Here is a 22839-nt window from a genome sequence, read left to right as displayed (position 1 = left end):
GATATAAGTGTGTGTGTGTGTGTGTGTGTGTGTATTTGAGCACACACATGCTCAAGTCTGGGAGTGCATCAATGTGGTGAGCCTGTGGGTTGACACTGTGCTGTGTATTGTGTGTGTACCTATAGAGACAGGTGATCTGTGTCCCTAAACCATCACTGTGACCCTTTTAATGTCATACTTTAGATTCAGACCAAGGTGGATATAATCTCACGACGTGACATAAATTGCTTAACTTTTCAGCCTACTCTTCTCTTCTCTAAATGGAAATAAACATCATAACCTCATAGGGTTGCTATAAAGAGTAAATGAAATCATGTGCATAATGCAATCACTGTTACCACCCCCATAACACATACACGTACACACACACACACACATACACTACATAGGGACACTTGCTTATTCCCTTTCCCGTCTCCTCTCTCCTCCTGCCTTCTCCCTCCTTCTCCTTCCCATTTATTCTATTGAATTGCTATCTAGGACCTTTTCCTTGACCACCAGCTTTCAACTGTAAGCCATGAGGTCTCCCTACCTTCATTCTGACACATTCACATGGTCTTTTAAGAACATTGTAAAGCATTCTTTCTGAGTACTTTCCTCTTGAATTTTTAGTTAATGGTAGTCTCTTTCTTGCACCTGTGAGTCACCCAGTGCCTTTTGATGGATCCCATAGATGTATTATTTACCCCTTCAGCAGGCATCTTGTATGCGAATGTGCAACCATCTCTTCACTGTTTTACATTTGTTGATTTTAAGAATGGCGGGTCTAGAAAAGAACTGTTGATGTTTGTGTTCCAGCTGTGTCTGGGATAACCTCGGCTGTTTACAGTGTGGCCCGGAGCGTCTTGGCTGCCGCCCTGCTCCACGCAGTCTGCTTCAGTGCAGTGAAGGTAGGTGTGAGGACCATGGGCCCTCATCCTTCTCGATTCATTAAATTAACTTATTTTTTTAAACAAATGAATGTTTTTTCCAAAATTACAAGAGAAATCGGATCTGTGCAAATCAGGGAGTGACTGTGTGGCTGAGTGAGGCCTCAGTAGTGTTAGAAGACAGGTCAGGATGCCTGGTTGGCCCTAATGTGAAAGGCCCCCCACCTCCTGGCCTGGCCTCCCCTCTGCAGATGTCTCTCTGCTAAGATCGGTTAGTGACAGTGGGAGGGGCTGCTGCTTAACATGTTGGTCAATGGAACCCATGTGTCTGCCTTCACTTCCTGAAATACCACTCAAAAGACAATAAAGGAATACAATTGCTTAAAGCTAGATAGACAAGAGGACAGAAGAGGATATGACAGCCACAAAATGTTAGAATCTAGAAAACAGAGGGACTATAGACTTACCCAGAAGGGGAAAATGCAAACCTAACCTGGCAGCAAGGGAAGCCTAAGATGATGAGAAAACAAGATAAACACGAACTTCAGAAAACACAAAGTTGTGTCAGGCAAGAAACGTATCTATTGTAGGTACCTGGCTCAGCTGTGAACCATATTTATATAGTAATCTGAGTAATCATCATGTTATATCGCTAATAGAAGAATGGGGGAGGTGAAGTGTGATGGAGGAGTTCCAAATCCTGTCTTCCATATTAGAAAATCAGCAAATAACATCTAAAATTGAAAATAAAAATCAAGAAATAGCACAGCAAGTATTTTATTTGAAAATATGGAAGTAAATATGGAGAAGAAATAGCTGAGTCATTGCCTTCAGGAAGCAGGAATTAGGGCAGGGGTTTGTGTAGGTGGGGAGACCACTACTGTTTGTTTTCAGTGTTGTAGAGCTGTAGAGTGGCCATTAAGTCTAAATATAACAGTATACATAATGTCCTCAGGGGCATCTTCAGTCAGTAACAAATAAATTAATATTATACATATTTCTGGACTTACGGTTTAACAGTTTAAACCACAGGTACTCCTTTGATAAAACAAAAATTAAATGTAAAAGAGTAAATAAAAATAATATATGTTCCAAAGTGTTTTTAATATAAATCACGTAACATTTCTTAACTCACTTTTTAAAAAGATTAACTTAAATCATATTAAACTGATCAATGTCAGTGGCAGAAAGATAATTGTTTATTTCCCTTTGTGAAAGAGAATGAATTCAACATTTTTCTCTCTCAATATTTCACAGTAATCCATGGAGTAATTATTGATTACTCCATTACTTCTATTCCTATCATATAGATATTTTCTTTCAGAAAAAAAGGGGAGGGGCCTGGGAGGAAGGTTTCTGTATCTAATATACAAAGGTAATTTATGTGCTTGTAGTGGCCCGTTTGTTACCACATTTATCCTGTCATGTAGACCAACAATTATCTAAACAGTGTTTCCGGTGTTCTTTCTTTTGACTTATGTTCCTTTATTTAATCATAGGATCCCAGGTATACTTCATTTAGGAAAAGTACTTGGATGAGTATTTTCTGAGTCCTTGTACTTCTGAGAACATCTTTCCACTGTCTTTTGGTAAAATGGCTGCCTATACAACTCTGGGGTCACAGGTGTTTTTCTGCAGGCACCTTAGTATATTGCTCTGTTGTGTTCTGGAATTATTTGTTTGCTTGTTCATTAATTTTTAAAAGTCAGGTTTAAAGTTCAGCTTTTGAAAATGTCCAGTTTGGTTAGTTTTAATAAATAAATAAATAATCCTACAATCAAGTTATGAGAGCATTTTCACCAACTCAAAAAATGTTCTTGAATTCCTTGTAGTCAGTCTCTTCCCCTATCTCCAGCCTCTGGCCACCATTCATCAGATTTCTGTCTTTGAAGCTTCTTTGGAATCAAATCTGTCAGGGCATGATGTATATACAATAAAATCCACTAATTTCAAGTGTACAGTTAGATGTATTTTGACAACTGTGTGTAGACAAGTTACCACCATCACAATCATGACACAAACTGTTCCCCCATCCAGAAGTATGTTTTCATGTTCACTTGCAGTCAGTCCCCTCTCCACACAATGTTTTTATTTATCCTAAGTGAATACCTGAGTGAGATTGCTAGATCACATGGTAAGTTTTTATTTAACTTTATAAGAAATTGCCAAACTGTTGTCCAGTTTCTATACCATTTTTCTTTTCCCTACCCTCACATAATCTTTGATTTCCAAGTGTTCTAGGTTCTTGCTGACAGTTAGTACTGTCAGGTTTTTCTTAAATCCATTCTCGTGTGAACCAGTATCTGATTGTGGTTTTAATTTGCATTTCTCCAATAATGAATAGTGTTGAACATCTTTCTGTATGTTTCACATTTGTATAACTTCATTGATGAAAAATTTGCTTGTCTTTTGTCCATTTAAAAATTATATGTATGCCATATTATTGAGACATAAGAGTTCTTTACATAATCTAGATACAAGTCCTTTAACAGATATATGCTACACACATTTTTTTTTTCAGGCTGTGGCTTGTCTTCTCATTTTTTTAACAGTATATTTTGAAAAGCAGAAGTTTTTAGTTACAATGAAGTCCAATTTATCTAATATTTATTTTATGGGTTTTTTTTATGTCTTACCTAGAAAACATTTACTTAACCCTAAGTCACAAATATTTTTGTACTACAAGTTTTATAGTTGTATTATATTTAGATTTGATTTGAATATACTTATATTTAGATTTGAAATCTCTTTTGAGATGATTTTTGTGTATGACATGAGGTGAAGGTTGAGATTTACTAGTACCATTTGTTGAAAACACTAACCTTTCTCCGTTGAATTATCATGGAACGTTTAGAACCAAAAATTAATCATTTCATTGTTCTGCATGCCTTTCTTTATGTTAGTATTACATTGTTTTTATTACTGCAGCTATATAATATGCTTTGAAATCAGATAGTGTGTCTCCCAATTTTATTCTTCTTTTTCAAAATTGTTTTTGCTATTAAAGGTCATATTTCTTCAAAAGTAAGTTTTACACTGTGTTTGACAATTCCTACCAAAATTTGCAAAAATTTTCGTTGGGATTATGATGAATTTGTAGATCAATTTGGGGAGAACTGACATCTTAACTGTAACTTTTTGATCCATGAACATGGTATATTGTTCCATATACCACAGTCTTTGTTACTTCGTTCTCAGGTCAGGAGTATTTTGTATCTTTCAACCTGAAACTATTGCACCTTTTTGTGCATTATATGTTATTTTAAATGGCATTGTGTTTTATAATTTAAATTTTCAATTGTTAAGTAATACTAAATACAATTTATTTTGTAATATTTCAGCCTTTATCTTGCAAGCTTGCTAAACAAATGTATTAGTTCTGGTAGTATTTTAGTAATTTCTTTAAGATTGTCTACCATAGATTGTCATGTCTATCAATAAACACAATTTTATTTTCCTTTCCAGCCTGTATGCCTTTGATTTCTTTTTCTTGCTTTATTGCAGTGGCTAGGACCTCCAGAGCAATGTTGACAAAGTGCTGAAATCAGACATCTTTGCCTTGCTCCCAAGTTTAGGGGAAAAGTCTTTCACCATTAAGTATGAAGTTAGCTATGGAAATTTTCCAGATGCCCTTTATTGGGCTGAGTCATTTCCCTTAGATTTCTAATTTGCTGAGAGTTATCATCATAAATGATGTTAAATTTTGTCACTTTTTTTCTGCATCTATTGAGAAGACCATATTGATTTTTTTTAAAGCAATTGTTAGGAAGAATTACATAAATTGTTCAGTGTAGAACCAACATTCCATTTAAAGGATGGGCCCCATTTGGTCATGCCATATTGCCTTTTTAAATATATTGCTCAATATTATTTACCAATATTTTGTTGAGAAATTTGATGTCTATGAAGTTTCTAGTTCTCTAATTTTTTTTTTTTTTTTTTTGAGATGGAATCTCACTCTGTTACCCAGGCTGGAGTGCGGCAGCGTGATCTTGGCTCACTGCAAGCTCCACCTCCTGGGTTCACGCCATTCTCCTGCCTCAGCCTCCCCAGTAGCTGGGACTACAGGAGCCCACCACCACGCCCAGTTAATTTTTTGTATTTTTTAGTAGAGATGGGGTTTCACCATGTTAGCTAGGATGATCTCAATCTCCTGACCTCGTGATCCGCCTGCCTCGGCCTCCCAAAGTGCTGGGATTGCAGGTGTGAGCCACCGCCCCCAGCCTAACTTTTCTTTTCTTGTAATGCTTTGTCTTGTTTTGACATTATGTAATGGCTTGATAAAATGAGTTGGAAAGTGTTTCCTTTTATATTATAAAAGAGCTCACATAAAATAGCTTATGTTCTTACTGAACTTTTTTATATAGTAATATTTGGTTTTATTGATCTCTTAGATGAGATGTATTCTTTTATACTCTAAGTGGTCAATTATCTCATAAAGATATTTAAAAATCTTTAAAATTATATTTCCTTTACGTTATTTTAAAAAATAATTTCTGCAATGTACATTTCTTTGTGTAGATTCATCTTTCTGCTTGCCATCATATTTCTCCTGTCTGAAGAACTTTCTTTAGGAAATCTCATGGTGCAGGTCTGCTAGTCATAAACTTTCAGCCTTTGTCTGAAACACATCTCATTTTGCCTTCACTTTTGAAGGATATCTTCACTGGTACAGAATTCTGCTTAAAAGCTTTTTTCCCCTGGTACTTTCAACATGTTCTGTTTTCTTTTGTCTTGTATAATTTCTGATAAAAAAATCTGCCGTTATTCCAATATTTGTTTCTCTGTTAGTAACGTTTCTTTTTTCTCTGACTGCCTTTAAGATTTTCTCTGTCTTTGTTTTCAGCCATTTGACAATGCTGTGACTAAGTGTATGGCGTTTTTTTTTTTTATTTTACTTAGGATTCTCTGAACTGTTTGATTTGTGAGTTGTTTTGGAAAATCTTTAGCCATTCTCATTTCAAATATGTCTTCTGCCTTGTTCTGTTTTTCTTTTCTTCTTGGGCCTCCAATTATATACATGTTAGATCATTTAATATTGCCCCACATCATTTGTATGCTATAGTCTTTTTTTCCACTCTTTTTTCCTTCTTTGGGTTTTAGTTTTAATAATTTTACTGACCTATCTTGAAGTTCACCAGTTCTTTCTCCTGCTGTGTCTAGTCCGATGATAAACTCACGAAAGAACCAACATTTCTATTTGATGTCTGTAGATAGTTTTCATTTTTCTTTCGAAATTACCCATCTGCACATGAATGATGTCCATTTCTGTCACTAGATTCTTCAACATATTAATCATAGTCATTTTAAAGTTGAGATTTTTGTAAATTATCTGGCTTTTTCTTGTTGTCAGGCTGTGAGCAGGACACTTGTGGATTTCTACATCTGAATTGGCATCACTTGTCAGTGTTTAGTTTTGAAGATAAAAACAATAGGGCTAAAATTTCTTTGTTGAATTTTTGTAGAATTCTTTCCTACAGTCTGAAGTTTAAAAGAAGTTAGTGGACTATGATTAGGCGTGGTTCTCTTAAGTTTTCTGGAGCACCATGCCCATTTTCACTTTTCATATTGAAAACTTTATCTAGAGGAAAAGTTTCCCTGTTATGTTTTGATTAATGACATTGTTGATTCTGTTCACATAATATGATTTAATTTTTCACAGACTTTAACTTTTGGCTGTCTTTCATGTCTCTCATTTCTTTTTCATCATTTTCCTCTCCTTATAGTTTTCCTTTGAGTTCTGGTACAGTTCTAGAGTTTCTCATTTCAAGAATGAAGAAATCAACAAATATTTATTGAGAAGTTATTGTGTACTAGGAATTATACTAGTTTATATATATACTAGTTATAAAATATAATTTATAAAATATAAATTATGTAAAATAATTTGATAAATTATAATAATATATAAATTTTATATATTATTGAAATATATTAAAATAATATATAATTATATATAATATATAAGTCTAAATAATAAATGCAAATTAAAATGTATTTATTGTTACAGTAAGAACTCTTAACATGAAATCTATCCTTTTAACTTTTTGTGTGCAATTCAGTATTGTTATCTGCAGGCATAATGTTATACAGCAGATCTCTAGAATTCTTTTGCACTATTATATATATTTTATATAATTTACTTCACATAGCATAACTGAGACAAGTACTATTATCCTAATTTTACAGTTATAAATTTTATTTTCTGCATTGTTTGCTGTTTGGTCTACTGATAAATTGCAGTTTGAAATTTGGCATTCATATTATTCGACCTTCATAATTGCTTGCTTAGCTTTAAAGTTGAGACTTTAAATCAGATATTTTCTAAAAATTTCTTTTTTTTTGATGTAAATGTGCTTTAGAAAGCTTCTGTAAGTGGTCCCTTTAGAGAAATATCTCATTTTAAGAATGCTTTTTGTTTGTCATGTGCTGTTTTTCCTCATTTCGCAGTGAGAATATGTCTTTGATAACCTAGCATCGTCTCTGTTCAGTTCATAGACCTGTTTTGTGTTTGGCCTGTAGAATGTTTAAAATTTTTTTCGAGCCAAGATTTAATATTAGGACAGTCAGTGTAAAAATATGATTCTCCTACTTCTCTTAAACAATGTGAAGATCCGGCAACACTGGGCTGACCTTCCCATTTGGTAACAACCTGCTGACACTGAATAGTAACTCACAGCTACCGCAAACTCACAGGTCTCATCATGTCCTATCATTTTTTATGCCTGAGCCACATAATGTATATATGTCACTTGGCTGCCCACATTGATGTTAGATTTTATGACTTTTGTCTTATAGTCAAGAAAGAATTGAACTGGTTTCTGTTAGGGAATTGTAAGACTCCTTGGTCAGATCTTTTCAGAGGTACCTCATGTCTGAAACACAGGAAGAGAGGAAAATGAAACAAAACATGTTTCAGTAATACACTACTAGTTCAGAGATGATTTTTCCCAGGGAAAATGTCTTATTGATGGAGTTTGGGGTAGTTATATCAGGAAGCTCATCACAGGCAGTAGATATGAAGAAATGCCTGGGACAGTGGTTATCTCTGTTTTACCCTCTTGGCTCTAACTTCTACATCCATGACCTGAATGAATAAATGCTGCCGCCTCTACGACAGCAGGAGTTGCTGCAGACTGCCCATCCACAGACGTGCAAGGCCAAGTGGTAAAATGTCTGCTAACCCCTTGGTCTATACTCACTTCCAGCCCTTCTGCCTCTCATTTAGGTGATGTTAGCAGAGGTCTTTTCCTGTTTACTTCCTCAGTGCACTACTGTCTTTCAAATGGAGAGAGGAGTTGGAGTCAGCCTTACAATCTTCTTTCAGTCTAGACCCATCTATAATATAAGGTCTGGCATAAATTCCTCAGGGTCTATGACTTGTGCACGAGTAACTTGCTCTGGTTCCCAGTGTGGTTTCAGGCTTTTCTCTTTTTGAATATTTTATTGGACACTTAATGAGCTCTAGGGAGAGGGAGATCTTGTTCTTGATGTTCTTGATGCCATTTGGACTGGGACCCCACACTTTACCCTTTGTGGCAACCCTGAATAGCAAACAGCATCTGATGTAAATATCATTGTACTTGATTAATGGAAACGGAAACATGCATGCTCTCTGTAACTGATGCAGAAGTTGAAACGTTCGTATTCTGTGATAGTCGACACATATTTATTTGTTCAGCAATAGCTCTGCTGGGTACTGTAAAGATATGGGAGGAGGAAAAGACATTCCTTTCTCCTCAGGAACTCAACATGCATTTGACAAATGCTGAACGCCCATAATTATCAGTTCAGATACTCTCAAAAGTAATGTGCATTCATGGATTGTTACACAACTTTTTCTTGCAAAATTCTTAAAGGGTTTTAGAAACTACTGAAGAATCTGGTATTCAAAAAATAGAGTATCTTGGGTTTTTACCTAGTTGCTGGACAGATACTGTTATTCCCTCACCTCCCCAAATGTGGCTCCATTTTCATGTCAGACATTGCTAATTGATCACAGCATTTTTTTCTAACTGAGGTCAGTAGTACCTCGGGCTGCCCAGGAGATATTACAGTCAGCCAGTGCCAACTGATCAGAGCCAGCCCAAGAGATAAACTCTATTCTCTATCCTGGGCTGAGACTTTTATTTCTGTTTTCTATTCAGTTTATGGCTTGTTATAGGTGTAAATCATTGTTGGATCAGAGTAAATAGATTCCATTTTGAAAGCACGCCGTTAACTCTGTGATGGAAAGAAACACTTCAAGAACTCTGGGGTTTACTTAGGTGTTGAAACAGGCTTTGACCAGTTGAAACTGGGGTGCTTTGGGAAGGTTTATTTCATCTCAGGGAGGTATTGACTTCCCTTTCTCAGCATAGAACAACGATCATTTGCAATAAATACTATAGTCTGTAGTAAAAAAACCAAAAACAAACAAACAAACCTTAATGTTCTAACCGTATTTTGAAGCACCTTTTGTTAAAAATAGAGCAATTTGAATTTCTTCCTTCTCCTTTGTACGTCCTGAGTTTTCTAATAGTCTCAGACTGACTCTCCACTTGAAGATGCAGCACCTATTAAATGCTGTGAATTGAATGAATGTGGTTAGCAAATTGTCAAGAGGGTCCTTAGGAAACAAGAAAAGCTCACCCATCTTCAATCAAACTCCCACTTACCCAGAGCCGTGATTCTACTTCTTGTTTAACGATGCTTTTGTTTATGCCTTTTATGCTTACTCTTTGCATTGCTGGAATTGATTTTTTTTTCCTTTCATCTCTAGTGCATCATGATGGATTGATGGATCCTTGTGAACCGTTTCAGCATGTCAGCTGCCTTGCTAGCAATACAGTTTTCCATATGGGTCATGATATATGTGTTTATTTCCTTAATTTTTATTATTATCACTTGGTAGAAGCAGATTCAGAGACCATGAGTTAATTTTGTCCTCTGGAATATTAATTAGGGAAAGAAAATTTGATTCCTCTTTTAATTTCATATTCTCTTTGACTCGTCCAAGATGGTACCAAGTAACATATAAATGGACTCCCTCATTGACTTAAATAGTATTTGACAGTGATCTACAGAAACAACCAGAATATTTGCTCCTCGGAGAAATAGCTCAGTAGTTAATTAACTGGGCTTTCTGTGTCTGGATAAACTATGATTTCTATTTTTTATTATCCTTTACAAAGAGATTTCTTTTTTATTAATGGCAAGGGGATCCAGAGGTTGAAGCACATTATTATAATTTAATGTTTCCCACGTATCCTTAACAACTGCTTGCGGGGGAGCTTTTCCTGTATTTCTTCTGGGTCCCACAGGATTGCAGCCTAACATCATGCTACTTTACAGGCACTCAGGGTTTAAAATCTAATTGTAAATGTAAAACAAACTCATAGTTCTAGATATTATTTAATGCTGAAGTGGACCTGAGATGCCTCCTAGTGCAATTCCTTCATTTTATTATTTAAAATGAGGAAGTGAACATCCAAAGAGAGATTAAGTAATTTACTCCGCATCACACACCCCACGTCCCAGATCTGTGTCTTTTCAGTCTTCCTTTTGTGCCATCCTCACTACCACACTTGAAGTATAAATATATTTGTCTTGTTGAAAGAACAGTTCACAGCATATAAGACAGTTGCAGATCAATGGTTCTTTAACCTACAAAATAATTTCTGAAGTGTCTTCTCATTTGCCCCTTACTATATCTCCATGTAATCGATAAGGAAGATATCAACATTCCTGTTTTCCAGTGGTGAACCTGAAACACAGAATGCTTACTTGCCTAAGGGTGCATGACTAATTCACATTGTTTTTTCCATTGTAAAATGGATTAGTAGTACCTACCGCATGTGGATGTTTTAAGAAGCAAATAGAATCAAATCAATAATGTCTATAAAGTGCCTGGCTAAAAGTTCCTGTTAAGTGGTGTGGGAGGCTGAATTCTAAGATGGCCTGAGACTCCTATCCCCTGGCATACATGCCTTGTACAATTTCCTCCCCTTGAATGTGGGCAGGACCTGTGAAGGGGATGGGATGTCACTCCTGTGATGAAGTTACATTATCTGGCAAACTTGAAGGGATTTCGCAGATGTAGTTATGGTCCCTAATCAGGTAACTTTAACTTAAATTAAAATTTAACTTAAAAGGGAGATTGCCCGGTGCGGTGGCTCATGCCTGTAATCCCACCACTTTGGGAGGCTGAGGAGGGTGGATCATGAGGTCAGGAGTTTGAGACCAGCCTGACCAACATGGTGAAACCCCATCTCTACTAAAAATACAAAAATTAGTTGGGCATGGTGGCGTGCACCTGTAATCCCAGCTACTTGGGAGGTTGAGGCAGGAGAATCACTTGAACCCAGGAGGCAGAGGTTGCAGTGAGCCGAGATCACACCACTGCACTCCAGCCTGGGTGACAGAGCAAGACTCCGTCTCAAAAAAATGGAGATTACTCTGAGTGGGTCTGACCTAAAAAGGGAGATTATTCTGAATGGGTCTGACCTAATCAGAAGAGCCCTTTAAAAGGGGGTCCAGAGGGCAGGGACAGAAAAAGCAGTAGAGACCCTCCCTTACTGGCCTAGAAGAAGTAAACGGCCAGGTTATTAACTGCTGATGGAGGTAGCAACATGGCAAAGACCCAGAGCAAAGGCCTCTAGGAGCTAGAACAGGTCCCAGTGGACAGCCATCCAGGAAATGGGGACTGCAATCCGACAGCCAGGGGGAGCTGAGCTCTGCCTACCACCAGTGAGCATGGAAGAGGACCCCGAGTGTGAGATAAGATCAGAGGTCCAGCCAACACTGACATTTCAGTCTAGGAGACCCTGGGCAGAGGACGCAGCCACACTCTGCTCAAGCACCTGACCTAGGAAACTGTGAGATCATACATTTGTGTTATTTTAAACTGCTAAGTTTGTGGTAATTTGTTACACGGCAATAGAAAGCTAATACCAACGATAACTATTCTTAGCATAAATAGTTGGTGGTTATGATGACTGTAACCACAATGTTAATAATGCTAATAGTAATAAATTTGAAAGTAAAACCTAAGTTTTAACTCACTTTTACTTATATCAGACTTCACATTATATTTTATGGCTAGAATTGTATCATTTCTAGCTGCAAGAGACCAGGAATAATAAGTCTTTTGGCTGTCTGAACAAATTGCAAGGAAGTATCTGCTGCTGAGGATGAAGGGGAAACCGATCTCAGCCAGCCAGCTCGTGCTTTCTGCCATGCTTCCCTTCCTGGTCAGCAAAAAAGTAGAATTGACCCTCAAACCTAGTTACTGCTGGATTATTATGACCCTCAAGCTTGATGGTGTCAGCTGACACTGATTTGGGGAAAAAACAGGAAGAATATTGATTGATAGCTCAGAAGTTGTTCAAAATGGAATTGCAATTGTTGAGTGAAGTAAGATTTGGACTTGGGGGTTTTGGTAGTAAGCCCCGAGAGCATGCTGGGATCAAATCCAGAAATGTAGTGACTGATGGGGAGTGAGGGATACAGAGAGGAGAGGGTAGGTGGAAAACAGCATTCTAGGCCCAGAATTTGAGCTGTTGTGACCCTAGTAGTGATGGAAGACAAAACTTGTTTCAGTGACACCAGCCAAAGTTTATCTTCTCTCTTCCAGAATCCTGAGGACAACATTGTCCTACTGATGTTCATTCAATCCTTGTTTTTTTCTGTATGTAATCAATTCTATGTGAAAAATATAGATACTTACCACAATAACTAGTAAAAGCCTGTTTCCTCATTGTAAAATGGGCAATACTTTTACCTTCGATGTGTTTTAAAAACTACGTGTGGTCGTGAATGTTAAGCAGCAAGTCAGGTAGTCGCTGCCGAATGCATGGGAGCTGTTGCTGTGTTTCTTCTTGCTTGTGCACACTTTTCATTGCTCCTTGAAGTCACAGACTGTGGTTTATATATGCTGCTTTTTATGTCCTATTAGTGTGTCACATAAAAGGTGTGCTACAAAAATCTTGGATTGAATAATTACAGATAACTTGCAAAAGGGCAATGAGAAGGAAAGTAAATGTTAATGTTTTCCCTGAAGTACACGTATTTGTGTGTGTGTGTGTGTGTGCATTTCTATGTATTTATCCATGTAGCTATAGATAGACTTGGATACGTGGGACCCGTTATTCTGTCTTGCCAGCTAACTATCTCATTTTTCTTCAGTACCTATCTCTAAAAGTGAAATACTGTCTTGATTCATAAACATATCATGTTTTTCACCAAAATGAAGAAAACAGTATGAAATAAGAAGAATCTACTCTTAGCAGATAGTGAAGTCTGACTTGCCATATGTGTTCACATAATTGTTCATTTATTTGCGGGACACATATTGACCTATAATTTAGGGTCAGTGTGAGGCACTGGGGGAGCCCCTTCTGGGGTGTTCAAGGTCCATGAGGAATATGGACAAGAGCTGCTACAGGGGTGCACTCTAGGGGTTCGGGGATGCCAGAGCCTAGAAGGTATCCATTGCACACCCACACGTGCCGGCCACATGACACTCCGCAGGCCGTGTGTGAAGTAAGAAGAGAGAGCACAGTTCAGGGACTGGGTGACACATCTTTCCCTACTAAATTTCGGGAACTTTATGGGCCCAGCGCTCCTTTTACTTAAAGATGGGATTCATGTCAAAAATAGACCTAGAAATAGGACTTATACAGAGTCAAAATGGTACAATCTCGTTCTTATTTTAGGATGTATAAAACCTCAATCTCAAAAATGTCCCTATGTTTAATGCGATAAAAAAATCAGTTTCTTTAAAAAGAAAGTATTTAAACCTGATATGAAAGGCATAGCAAAGCAAGAATTCGGCCTGTTGATATTCACTTTATAATCAAACACTCAGTTAGTCTGTCCCATAAATTCCAACATAAGAGGTGTCTAAAACTTCTAAGGAGAAAAATGCTGGAATTCAGACTGTGTTCAGAGTGTGCTTTTTTGTACAAAGCCGGACTGCCCTATGCATTCTCGTCAGATAATTCCCAAATGCATGTGAAATCTACCACAGAATTGTAGGACTATTAGACAGTTTTATTACTACCTCATAAAAATATTTCAAAACCTGTGGGAGTTTTATGAAACCAGCACTCATCAATCCTTATCATTCCCAATTTTGAGGCCCATGAGATGTGTCTCAGAGCAATTAGAGATGTTAATTTTGAAGCAAACTGTCACATGATAAATGCTTCATTATCTGTGGGCAACAGACCATTTAAAACTTTATCTCTTTCCAAAATCTTTATATCTTTAGATATACATTTGTAAATTTTAAATCTTTATAAAATTGATCCCTTCTTCCTCTGAGCCGTTGCTCTACATGTGTTTCAACAAGCCCTGAAATAGGCAACAAGCACTGAAATAGGCAGGTAGCTCAATAGGTTTCCAAACACTGTTGTGTGGATGGATGCATAAATAGATGAAACAGCCTGTAATGCTGGGAACTTGTAAGTTACAGTGATTATTAAAACATCCTAACCTTTTTTTTTAAATGAAAAGTGGTGAGATGTCTACATATTTTTCACAGTTAGCTATATACACGTTTAAGGTGGTGGGGTACATGGAGCACTGAATTCAGGGCTGTGGAGGCTGGTACTGGTCTTACCACCTTGGGCAAGTCTCTTTCTTCCTGTCTCCTTGCTTGATCAATAACTTGAGATGAGACCATCTCAGTTATGAAGTTCCTTCCAACTCTAAAGGTAATCTTTCTTGAAGATAGTGGGTTTTGGAAAATGGCAGTCTGCATATGAAGGGATAACCCATGATGTTGATAATCAAGTAATCTCTCTTGTCCTTGTTTCCTTGAGAAATCAACCTCCAATCTGAGGGATGTGTGTGTGTGTGTGTGTGTGTGTGTGTGTGTGTGTGTGTGTGTGTTTATGTATGTATACATCTGCATTAGTTGAAAAAGTGAACAGGTAACCTGGAGAATGAGGGTGTTTCCAGGAGAGAGCCTCAGAAGATCCAGGTGGTTTGCTTTGTTACCATGTGTCAAAACTCAGGGAAGGTCAGTTTTTTTTTTCTGAGAAAGAGTTGTGTGGAAGTGTGAGGTTGGGCAAGTAAACATGAAAATTAGCACCTGGAATATGGACTCCTTAACACCTTGTATCCCACCCTTTTCTTGGAAGAATAAGTGTGCCCCGCTGGCATAACTTTGCTTTTTCTTGTTGAAGGACATAAACATCCTTCTTCCTGCCCCTGTGGCCACATTGCCATTTACTCCTGTTCAACAATTTACCCCAAAGCTATTAGTTATCCTTAAAAGAAATCATATGTAATGGAAGAATGAATACAGACTTCTACTAATATAGGACAGAAACCAGGAGTGTAACAGCTGTCCTTGGTGTTTTTGTTGGAAATGTTTGATTAAATATCGAAGTAGAGAGAAAATGAGAGGAGATTTAGGCAAGGAGTATTGAGGGAATAAAAGTAGGTAAACTCAATTATCAAAATATATTTGGAGCCTGGACTTAATTTATTGTCAGCAAAGACCATCCATCATGGGTACCCCTTCTTTTCCAATTAATGAAAAACTAACACTGACATTCAACTTTGCTGGGGACAAGGCTGTTTTAAATCTCATTAAGAAAGGTGTCGTCATCCCCTTTTTACAGAATAGGAAGCTGAACCACCGAGAAATTAAGTGCCTTCCACAGAACAATTCATTTCAACGATGAGTGAGCCTGGAACCAACTTCTGCCAACACTTGTTCCCTTGACCTTTTCTCTGATCCATGTCATGAGAATTATTTCTAGGGTCTTAGTTACTCATTTCTCATAGGAATTTCTTCCAGGGTCTTCCTATGTATGGGCTACATGTGAGAGAAAAGGTTCCACCTTCACAAAATCATGAATTAAATACACAGCACTGGTTAGTGCAGATGAATCAATGACAAGAAATAGAAGTTAGCAGGTTCTTCTTCTTTGGAAAACGTTTTGTGTTTATTGTGTAATGGTCAAGTATGAAATGAAATAAGAGAAGCCCTAGGTGGATGGACAGAGCAGGGTGAAGTCAATGTAAGGATGGAAGAGCCAGCCCTATCTGCCCTGCTTGGCTCTTCCAGAAGCCCCTGCAGCGGAAGGACCACGTTCTGCATTTGTGTGCAGGGATCCACTTAAATGCCATTCCTTTGACTCATGTGAGCTTCTGCTTCCTGCTGTGTAGCCCCTCGTGTGCTCTGTGAGCAGCTCATTGTCCCCTCATCTGTCATACTTGACTGCAGTTATCCATGTGTCTTTCCTTTCCAAGACTCTCTCTGTCCTGTTCATGGTTATGCTTCTGGGTACCCAGCACATTGTAGGAATGAATGAATGTTTGATGCGTGGACTCTTAGGAAAGCATAAAACTCAAGTTTCAGAATAACTTTCCTGTTGCTGGGGGTACTGTTTGAAGGAATAATGAGAAGCACATAGTCAGGAGATTGCCTTTTCTCTGATAATCTCATCACTTCCGCAGCATTTCACTGCCTGATCCACATTTGATGTAAGCTACTCAATTCCTTCATCTTCTTTTCTTGCTGAAAATTCTTGTCCACATGAGTCATTATGAAAGCCCAAACCTTGTAGTCATTCTCGCAAGGATATGTCAGGGTGCTAACATTTGTGCCAGGTACCGGGGAAAGAAACATGTAAGGTTGCCCCTTGTTGGGGAGTCCGGTGTCTAATGTGAAGGCAGACAAGTAAATGGTGGGACTCAGTGAGAGGTGCCTAAGGTGTCATGGGGGATGGGCACACATAGGAGATGCTGCTTCAGGGATGGTGATGCCGGTAGCATCTTGAAGGGGATTGTGCCATCAGGTTGCCCCAGAATGTCTTTTCTAACATGGATAAAGTTGCCAGCTGCCTTTGAGTTCGAGCTAACAAGTCTTATTGCAGGTCGTTTTCATACCAAACATAATAAAAGAACATAGTGAAAGTGTTTCCACCATTAATTCAGTGAAACATGCTGAAGAGCTACTCTGTCCTTGTGACTTAGCAGATGTGTATGCACAACTCCTGTGGGCAGGTGCTCTCTGCTGAGGGGCAGAGCCCAGCTATGCCCCTGAAAAAAAAAGAGACACTTTAAATGCTACCCTAGAGATGTTTAAAGGTGATTTTGATGCACAAAGGAGGAGGATTCTGTTCTGCCTGGGAAGTCAGAGGAGGCAGCACTGAGCAGGTGGAACTTATACTGGGCACTGAAGCATGGGTAGGAGTTCACCAGGTAGAGGGGAATGGAATGGAATGGAATGGAGTCAGGACAGAAGAGCCCTCTGTGCAGATGGAACCATGTAGGCAAAGGCAGGAGGGCAGGGAGCAATTCCTCTTTCGGGTTTTGCTGCTGTGTATATCCTAAATGTGAGGAAGGATGCTGAAAAGGTGGGCTTATGCATCGCCTGTGGAGTAGATTTCATTTGGTTGGTAATGAGGAATCATTGAAAGATACTGAGTGAAGGGCACAGACATGATCCGATTAGCCTTTTGGAGAGGAGAACCACTCTGTCACTATACAAAGGACAGAGTGTGGGATCTGTGGGGTGGGGTAGGGTGTGGATACTGAAGGGTGAGTCCCCATTAGGAAGCATTAACAGTAGTCCTGGGACAAGACAGTGGAAGCCTTAACCAGACAGGATGCAATGGAAAGAAGAAGCAAATTGGAGCAGCATTGAAAATGTGTATTGATGGCACACAAGGATCAGGAGACTGTTGAGACGGTGGGAAAGAAACAGCTCTCAGGTGTCCGTCATCAAGTGGGGGCTGCATTGACCCCTCCCATGTCAAAAACTTAAATCACCTGGGTTACAGAAAAGCACCCTCACAACAACCATTGAGTAGGTATTGTTTTCCCTTGTTAAAGAAGAGGAACCCAATGGTCAGAGATGTCTAGTAACTTAGCCAGTGTCACACAGCTCATGGTAGGACCTCCACTCATGGGAGTTACCCGGCTTGACAGAGACTACTGAGTCATTCACTGATGACCAGGAGTGAAATGTGGAGCTCAGACCTTCGAAAGGCTGAGATGGCACTGAAATAAAAAAGAGGGATAGTGTATGCTATAGACTGAATGTGTCCCTCAAAATTCATGTTGAAACCTAATCCCCAATGTAATGGTATTGGAGGCGAGGGCTTTGTGAGGTGATTACAGATATTGAGGGAGGAGTCCTCATGAATCAGATCAGTGTCCTTGTAAAAGAGGCCCTAGAATGCTCTCTTGCATCTTCTACCATGTGAGAACACAACAAAAAGGCATCATCTAGGAGTCAGGAAGCAGGGCCTCCCCAGACAACAAACCTTCTCCTTCCTGCACCTTGACCTTGGGCTTTCAGTGCCCAGAACTGTGAGAAATAAATTTCTGTGGTTTATAAGCCACCCAGTCTATGATATTTTCTTATATCAGCCCGAACAGACTAAGAGTACAGTAGCTTTCAAGGGCAACTGGATCAAGGGGAAGGAGAACTTTTTTTATTTGTTAAAGATGTCAGCAACTGGCCGGGTATGGTGGCTCACCCTTTAATCCCAGCACTTTGCGAGGCCGAGGCAGGCAGATCACCTGAGGTCAGGAGTTCGAAACCAGTCTGACCAACATGGTGAAACCCCGTCTCTACTATAATAAAAAATTAGCTGGGTGTGGTGGTGTGTGCCTGTAATCCCAGCTACTTGGGAAGCTGAGGTATGAGAATTGCTTGAACCCGGGAGGTGGAGTTTGCAGTGAGCTGAGATTGTATGACTGCACTCTAGCCTGGGTGATAGAGAGTGACTCCAGCTCAAAAAAAAAAAAAAAAAAGTCAGCAACTTGAGCATTTTTATAGGCGGGGCAGAGGGGACCAATGAAAAGAAAGTAGGACATCCTAGTGTGAGGGGAGAGTTGGGCTCAGGGAAGGAGGAAGTACACCTCTCCCTTGGACACTGGAAGGGAAGGCGTTGCTGATGAAAACTCCAAAGAAAGAAGAGGTCCGTGCAGGATGCCTCATCACTGGGTTTGAGCTTTTCAGCAAAATTGGTGGGGAAGACATCTGCACAGAATTAGAAAAATAATAAATGCAGACATGGTACCTTAGAGTGCTGGAAAAGGCACCCCACCCTCGGGGAAGCTGATCTGAGAGGCATGCAGGGCGTCCTGGTGTGGGGAGCTGTGTGGAGAGTGCGTCTGGAGGCAGTGAGTCTTACTTCCTGACTTTGTAGCCATGCAGCTCAGCAGCCTCAGGAAGACTCAGCTCCCTGCAATTTGCTTTACAGGTACTGCTCTCGGGCGTTTAGACTTCCACAATGGGGAAGATAAAAGAAATACATTTTAATTTCTAGGAAAATGAAGCATGTAAAAATAAAATCACTTGCTCTATCCAGTGTATCATTTGCTTTTCCAGACTATTTTAGCAGTTACAGTGGACAACTGCTAAGCACACTTGACTCATTCATTTGTAGATTTCATTATAAGCACCACAATTAACCCATCTTAAAAAAAAATCTTGACAGAAAAGTATTTAAGTTCTTGACTAAATTCAGCTTTCAGAAGGCATCAGTGATTCTGCTGATGGTGATTGAGAAGATTAAATATGTAGATGTTTTCTTCTTGGTGTATGAGAGACATGTTTGTGTTGGTGGGAGCACCAGGTGTGTGTGGGAGAGGAGCTGGAGTCCCAGGCCACCACACTGGTTGGGGTGGTAACATGTATTTCCCATGTTCTGCTCTGCCAGGCCGAATACAATGTGTTGATAACTGACATCTGTGCTTCTATCAAATTAAACCTGAAGTGCCTCTTTTCATTTCAAATAACTTTGCTCTTTCCTCAGGTGATTATCTTTAATCTTTGTTAGAAATGCTTGTTCCCTGGTGCCACAAAGAAATAGCACTCGAACATAAATTTAATTCTCTCAGCAAGGCCATTTTTACTTCCTGCAGAAAGGGTGCTCTATGCAGATGGAACAATGGCGAGAGCACGCTTGAACAAAGGAAAAGCAGACATATTTATCCCTTACACATTTGGGTCGTCCTTACTGCTGTGTCTGGCATCCATTGGCTGGAGCTGGACCTCACAGTCTTAAACAGATACCCTATTTGCTAATAGCTTAACACTTTCTTAAACAGGTAAGTGCAAGGGAGAACAAAGAAGAAGAGAAAGTTGCTCATGAAAGGTTTAAGGAAGCAATAACATTTCCAAATAGGGAAGGGGCATAAGCTATGAGCTAAGACTTGCCTGGGCCTGTCCAGACATGCTTGAGTAAGCCAAAGCAACTAACTGGGCTAAAGTGTAAGAACTGATAGTTGATAGGAGGCTTTAGAGTAAGAAGCTATTATTCCTAGTGTCTATTATTATATTTTTAAACCAAGACAAGCTTTGAAGAGGAACTTTTCTACTTTCTACAATCTTTATCAGGTTTTCAGTTCATTAGTCTATTTAATCTCTTATGTCATTTTTACATTTTTTATGCCATTTAGACCATCAATTAATAAACATTGAGAAATACAATTATTATAATTGTTAATTATTATATTGAATTCAGAGGAGGGACACATGTTTAATATTACATTCTATAGAACATTCTAAGCTTAATTTCAGGAAAGATTCAGTTTTATTCTTATAAGTATGTATAATTAGTCAAAAAGTTCCTTATCAAAATCAATGTCTATAAACCAACAGGTGAGTTTTTTGTGTGCCCACCAGATGCTTATATGTCCGTGGGCAGGAATAATCATGGGAATAACTCATCCATCCAGCTGGACCTTGGGGATATTTCTAAATGTCTGATAGAGATCCTGCTATTCACACAGCTGTGGAGTGACTTGGCTAACTGATGTCTTTTCTTTAGGAACCGTGGAGCATGCAACACATCCCGGCACTGTTTTCGGCCTTCTGTGGCCTCTTGGTCGCCCTTTCTTACCATCTGAGCCGTCAGAGCAGTGACCCATCTGTACTCATGTGAGTGGTCTATGCCTGTGCTCTCTCATCACTGAGCTGGGGGCATAGTTCCTGCAGCTTTGTGCCCTGACTGAGATGGGCAGACAGCAATTCACTGCCCATTGTGATTTGACTCTCATTATTAAACTAGCTGGTCACTCACTAGAGGAGGGAAGGAGAAATACAGGACCAGCCAGAAACTAATAACAATTAAAAATGAACATCTAGCAAACATTTTAGTTTTGCTCTTTTGATTTTGGAGTAAAATGCACAGTGGCAGGAACAGAGGGTCGATAGCACCCAAGCCCTGTTGTGACTTTCCCTTGGGTGAGCTGGGTAAGAAGCTGCCTCCTCAACAATACCCTCTCTAGATCCATTAACTACATCCCTGCCTTTACTCTAGGCAGTTACCCTGGGGAGACTAAACCAGCACCTCTGAAAAGAAAGATTTTGTTTGATTTTATTGTTTTGTTGTTGTTGTTGTTCCCAATCTGGCCAACGTCCTCTGGATTTAAAGTGAAATTTGCACCAAAGTGTTAAAATGTATTTAATGTAATGCTTAGTAATGTGAAAGTATACATTACAATCTTCCCTTTAATCATATCTTTAAGTTTTGGTAACGTGTACTCTGGCACTGGAAATCTTTCATGTGATGCCACAGTGAGTTTAAGATATTGACAGTAGCATCTTATGTAATTTGTTTAAATTTATGAAAGATTTTGATTTAAGATAACCGTAACTCTTTGAAGACCAGAGACACCATAATTTTAGGCCATGAGGTGCAGTAGTGTGAAAGGCATGAAAAATGGGGGAAACAAAAGTTAAACATGGTTCACACAATTTTTAGTGTCAATTGTATTAGTGCAATGTTCACTTTTTGCTGCTAATTGTGAAGATGAAGCCCTAGTGGGCTAGCAGAGATGGAGGACCTTCCCCATGTCCCACTGCTGACAATAGAGGGCAATGATACTGCTAAGGTACTTGACTGCTCTCATTAGGATGAAATTTACAAATCAAAACACTATCTTTATGATCACTTGAACATGCACCTCTTTTTATTATAAATTTTTAAATGAAGAGAGCACTTGTTTTTGTCATGTGTGGGTGTGAGATCTAAGGTGAAGTTATTTACCGAAAACACTGTCCCAGGAACATCTTTGATGAAGTATTGTGTTTTTCCACTTTCAGGTCCTTCATCCAATGCAGGCTGTTTCCTAAATTTTTACATCAAAATCTGGCAGAGTCAGCTGCTGACCCTCTCCCCAAGAAGATGAAAGATTCAGTGGTGAGACATTTGCGTTGTGTAATGTAGCATAGGAGGGCCTCATCTTTCAGCAGAGATCAGGCTCTCAATGGAGCTCTAGGCAGGTGGACATGAGAAGGACTAGGACAGAAAGATACACCTCGCTTGGTACCTGGCACACTGGGCTGTTGAGCTGCCTGCCAGGTGCAGCCCTATTTGAAACGCTTGCTCTCCGGTGCTGTAAAGAATATCACTTGAAAGTAAATTTAACTTACTCAGCAAGGCCATTTTTATACTTTCTGCAGAAAGGGTACACTCGCCAGCAGTTTTGCCATGAGAGTACACCAAACAAAGGAGACAGGGTCATTTATAACCTGACACATCCACCTTACTGCTGTGTCCGGTTTCCATTGGCTGGAATGGGGCCTCACATTCTATATTTGTCCCGATTGGCTAGCAACTTAGAACTTTTTAGAAGAGGCAAAGGTAGAGGAGAACAAAGGAAGGAGGAAGTAACTTGTGGAATGCTAAGAAAGGTAAAAACACCTTTAAATAAGGAAGAGGATCAGGCTATGACCTAATGCTTGCTTGGACCAGTATAAGCATGCCAGAGCAAGTATTTAGGCTAAATTGTGGGAGCTAAGAACATAAAGTACATTGATTTCTTTATCACGGCTAGCAGATATTTAAGAATGTTAGCACAGGTCTTTGAATAAATTTTGCTTCTAAGAGAAGTTACTATTTATTCCTAATTAAATGGGGAGGAAAGTCTTTGAAGAGGAACCTTTACTTTATTTTTTTACAAGCCCTTTAGAGCATCTTTTTTTTTCTTTAGAGACAGAATCTCACTGTCT

General features: G+C 39.0%; 1 protein-coding gene across 8 annotated transcripts in view, besides 2 other annotated features; it reads left to right on the top strand.

Moving 5' to 3' along the window:
• The window catches only part of PCNX2 (pecanex 2), a 343895-nt gene that overhangs the window by 127501 nt on the left and 193555 nt on the right, over positions 1-22839 (top strand). For 7 of the 8 annotated variants that reach the window (XR_001737430.2, XM_047430870.1, NM_014801.4 and 4 more), the window contains 3 exons: positions 799-890; positions 20654-20763; positions 21931-22027. Coding sequence is in view for 7 of the 8 variants with exons in the window: in XM_047430870.1 (XP_047286826.1) it covers positions 799-890; positions 20654-20763; positions 21931-22027 (299 nt within the window). In the remaining variant the exon portion in view is untranslated. The other variant, XM_047430873.1, reaches the window with a different exon arrangement.
• Positions 19485-20684: an enhancer, noted in NCBI's record as "MED14-independent group 3 enhancer chr1:233314891-233316090 (GRCh37/hg19 assembly coordinates)". NCBI's record gives its function as "activates an origin of replication core promoter dependent on BRD2, BRD4, P300/CBP and CDK7 cofactors, and independent of MED14, by STARR-seq in HCT116 cells {active_cell/tissue: HCT116}" and the evidence as "EXISTENCE:reporter gene assay evidence [ECO:0000049][PMID:35650434]".
• Positions 19966-20155: an enhancer, noted in NCBI's record as "active region_2737". NCBI's record gives its function as "activates an Ori minimal core promoter by ATAC-STARR-seq in GM12878 lymphoblastoid cells {active_cell/tissue: GM12878}" and the evidence as "EXISTENCE:reporter gene assay evidence [ECO:0000049][PMID:35858748]".

Source organism: Homo sapiens, chromosome 1, assembly GCF_000001405.40.
Source record: "Homo sapiens chromosome 1, GRCh38.p14 Primary Assembly".
NCBI lineage: Eukaryota > Metazoa > Chordata > Mammalia > Primates > Hominidae > Homo > Homo sapiens.
This window is presented reverse-complemented; position numbering and strand designations above follow the sequence as displayed.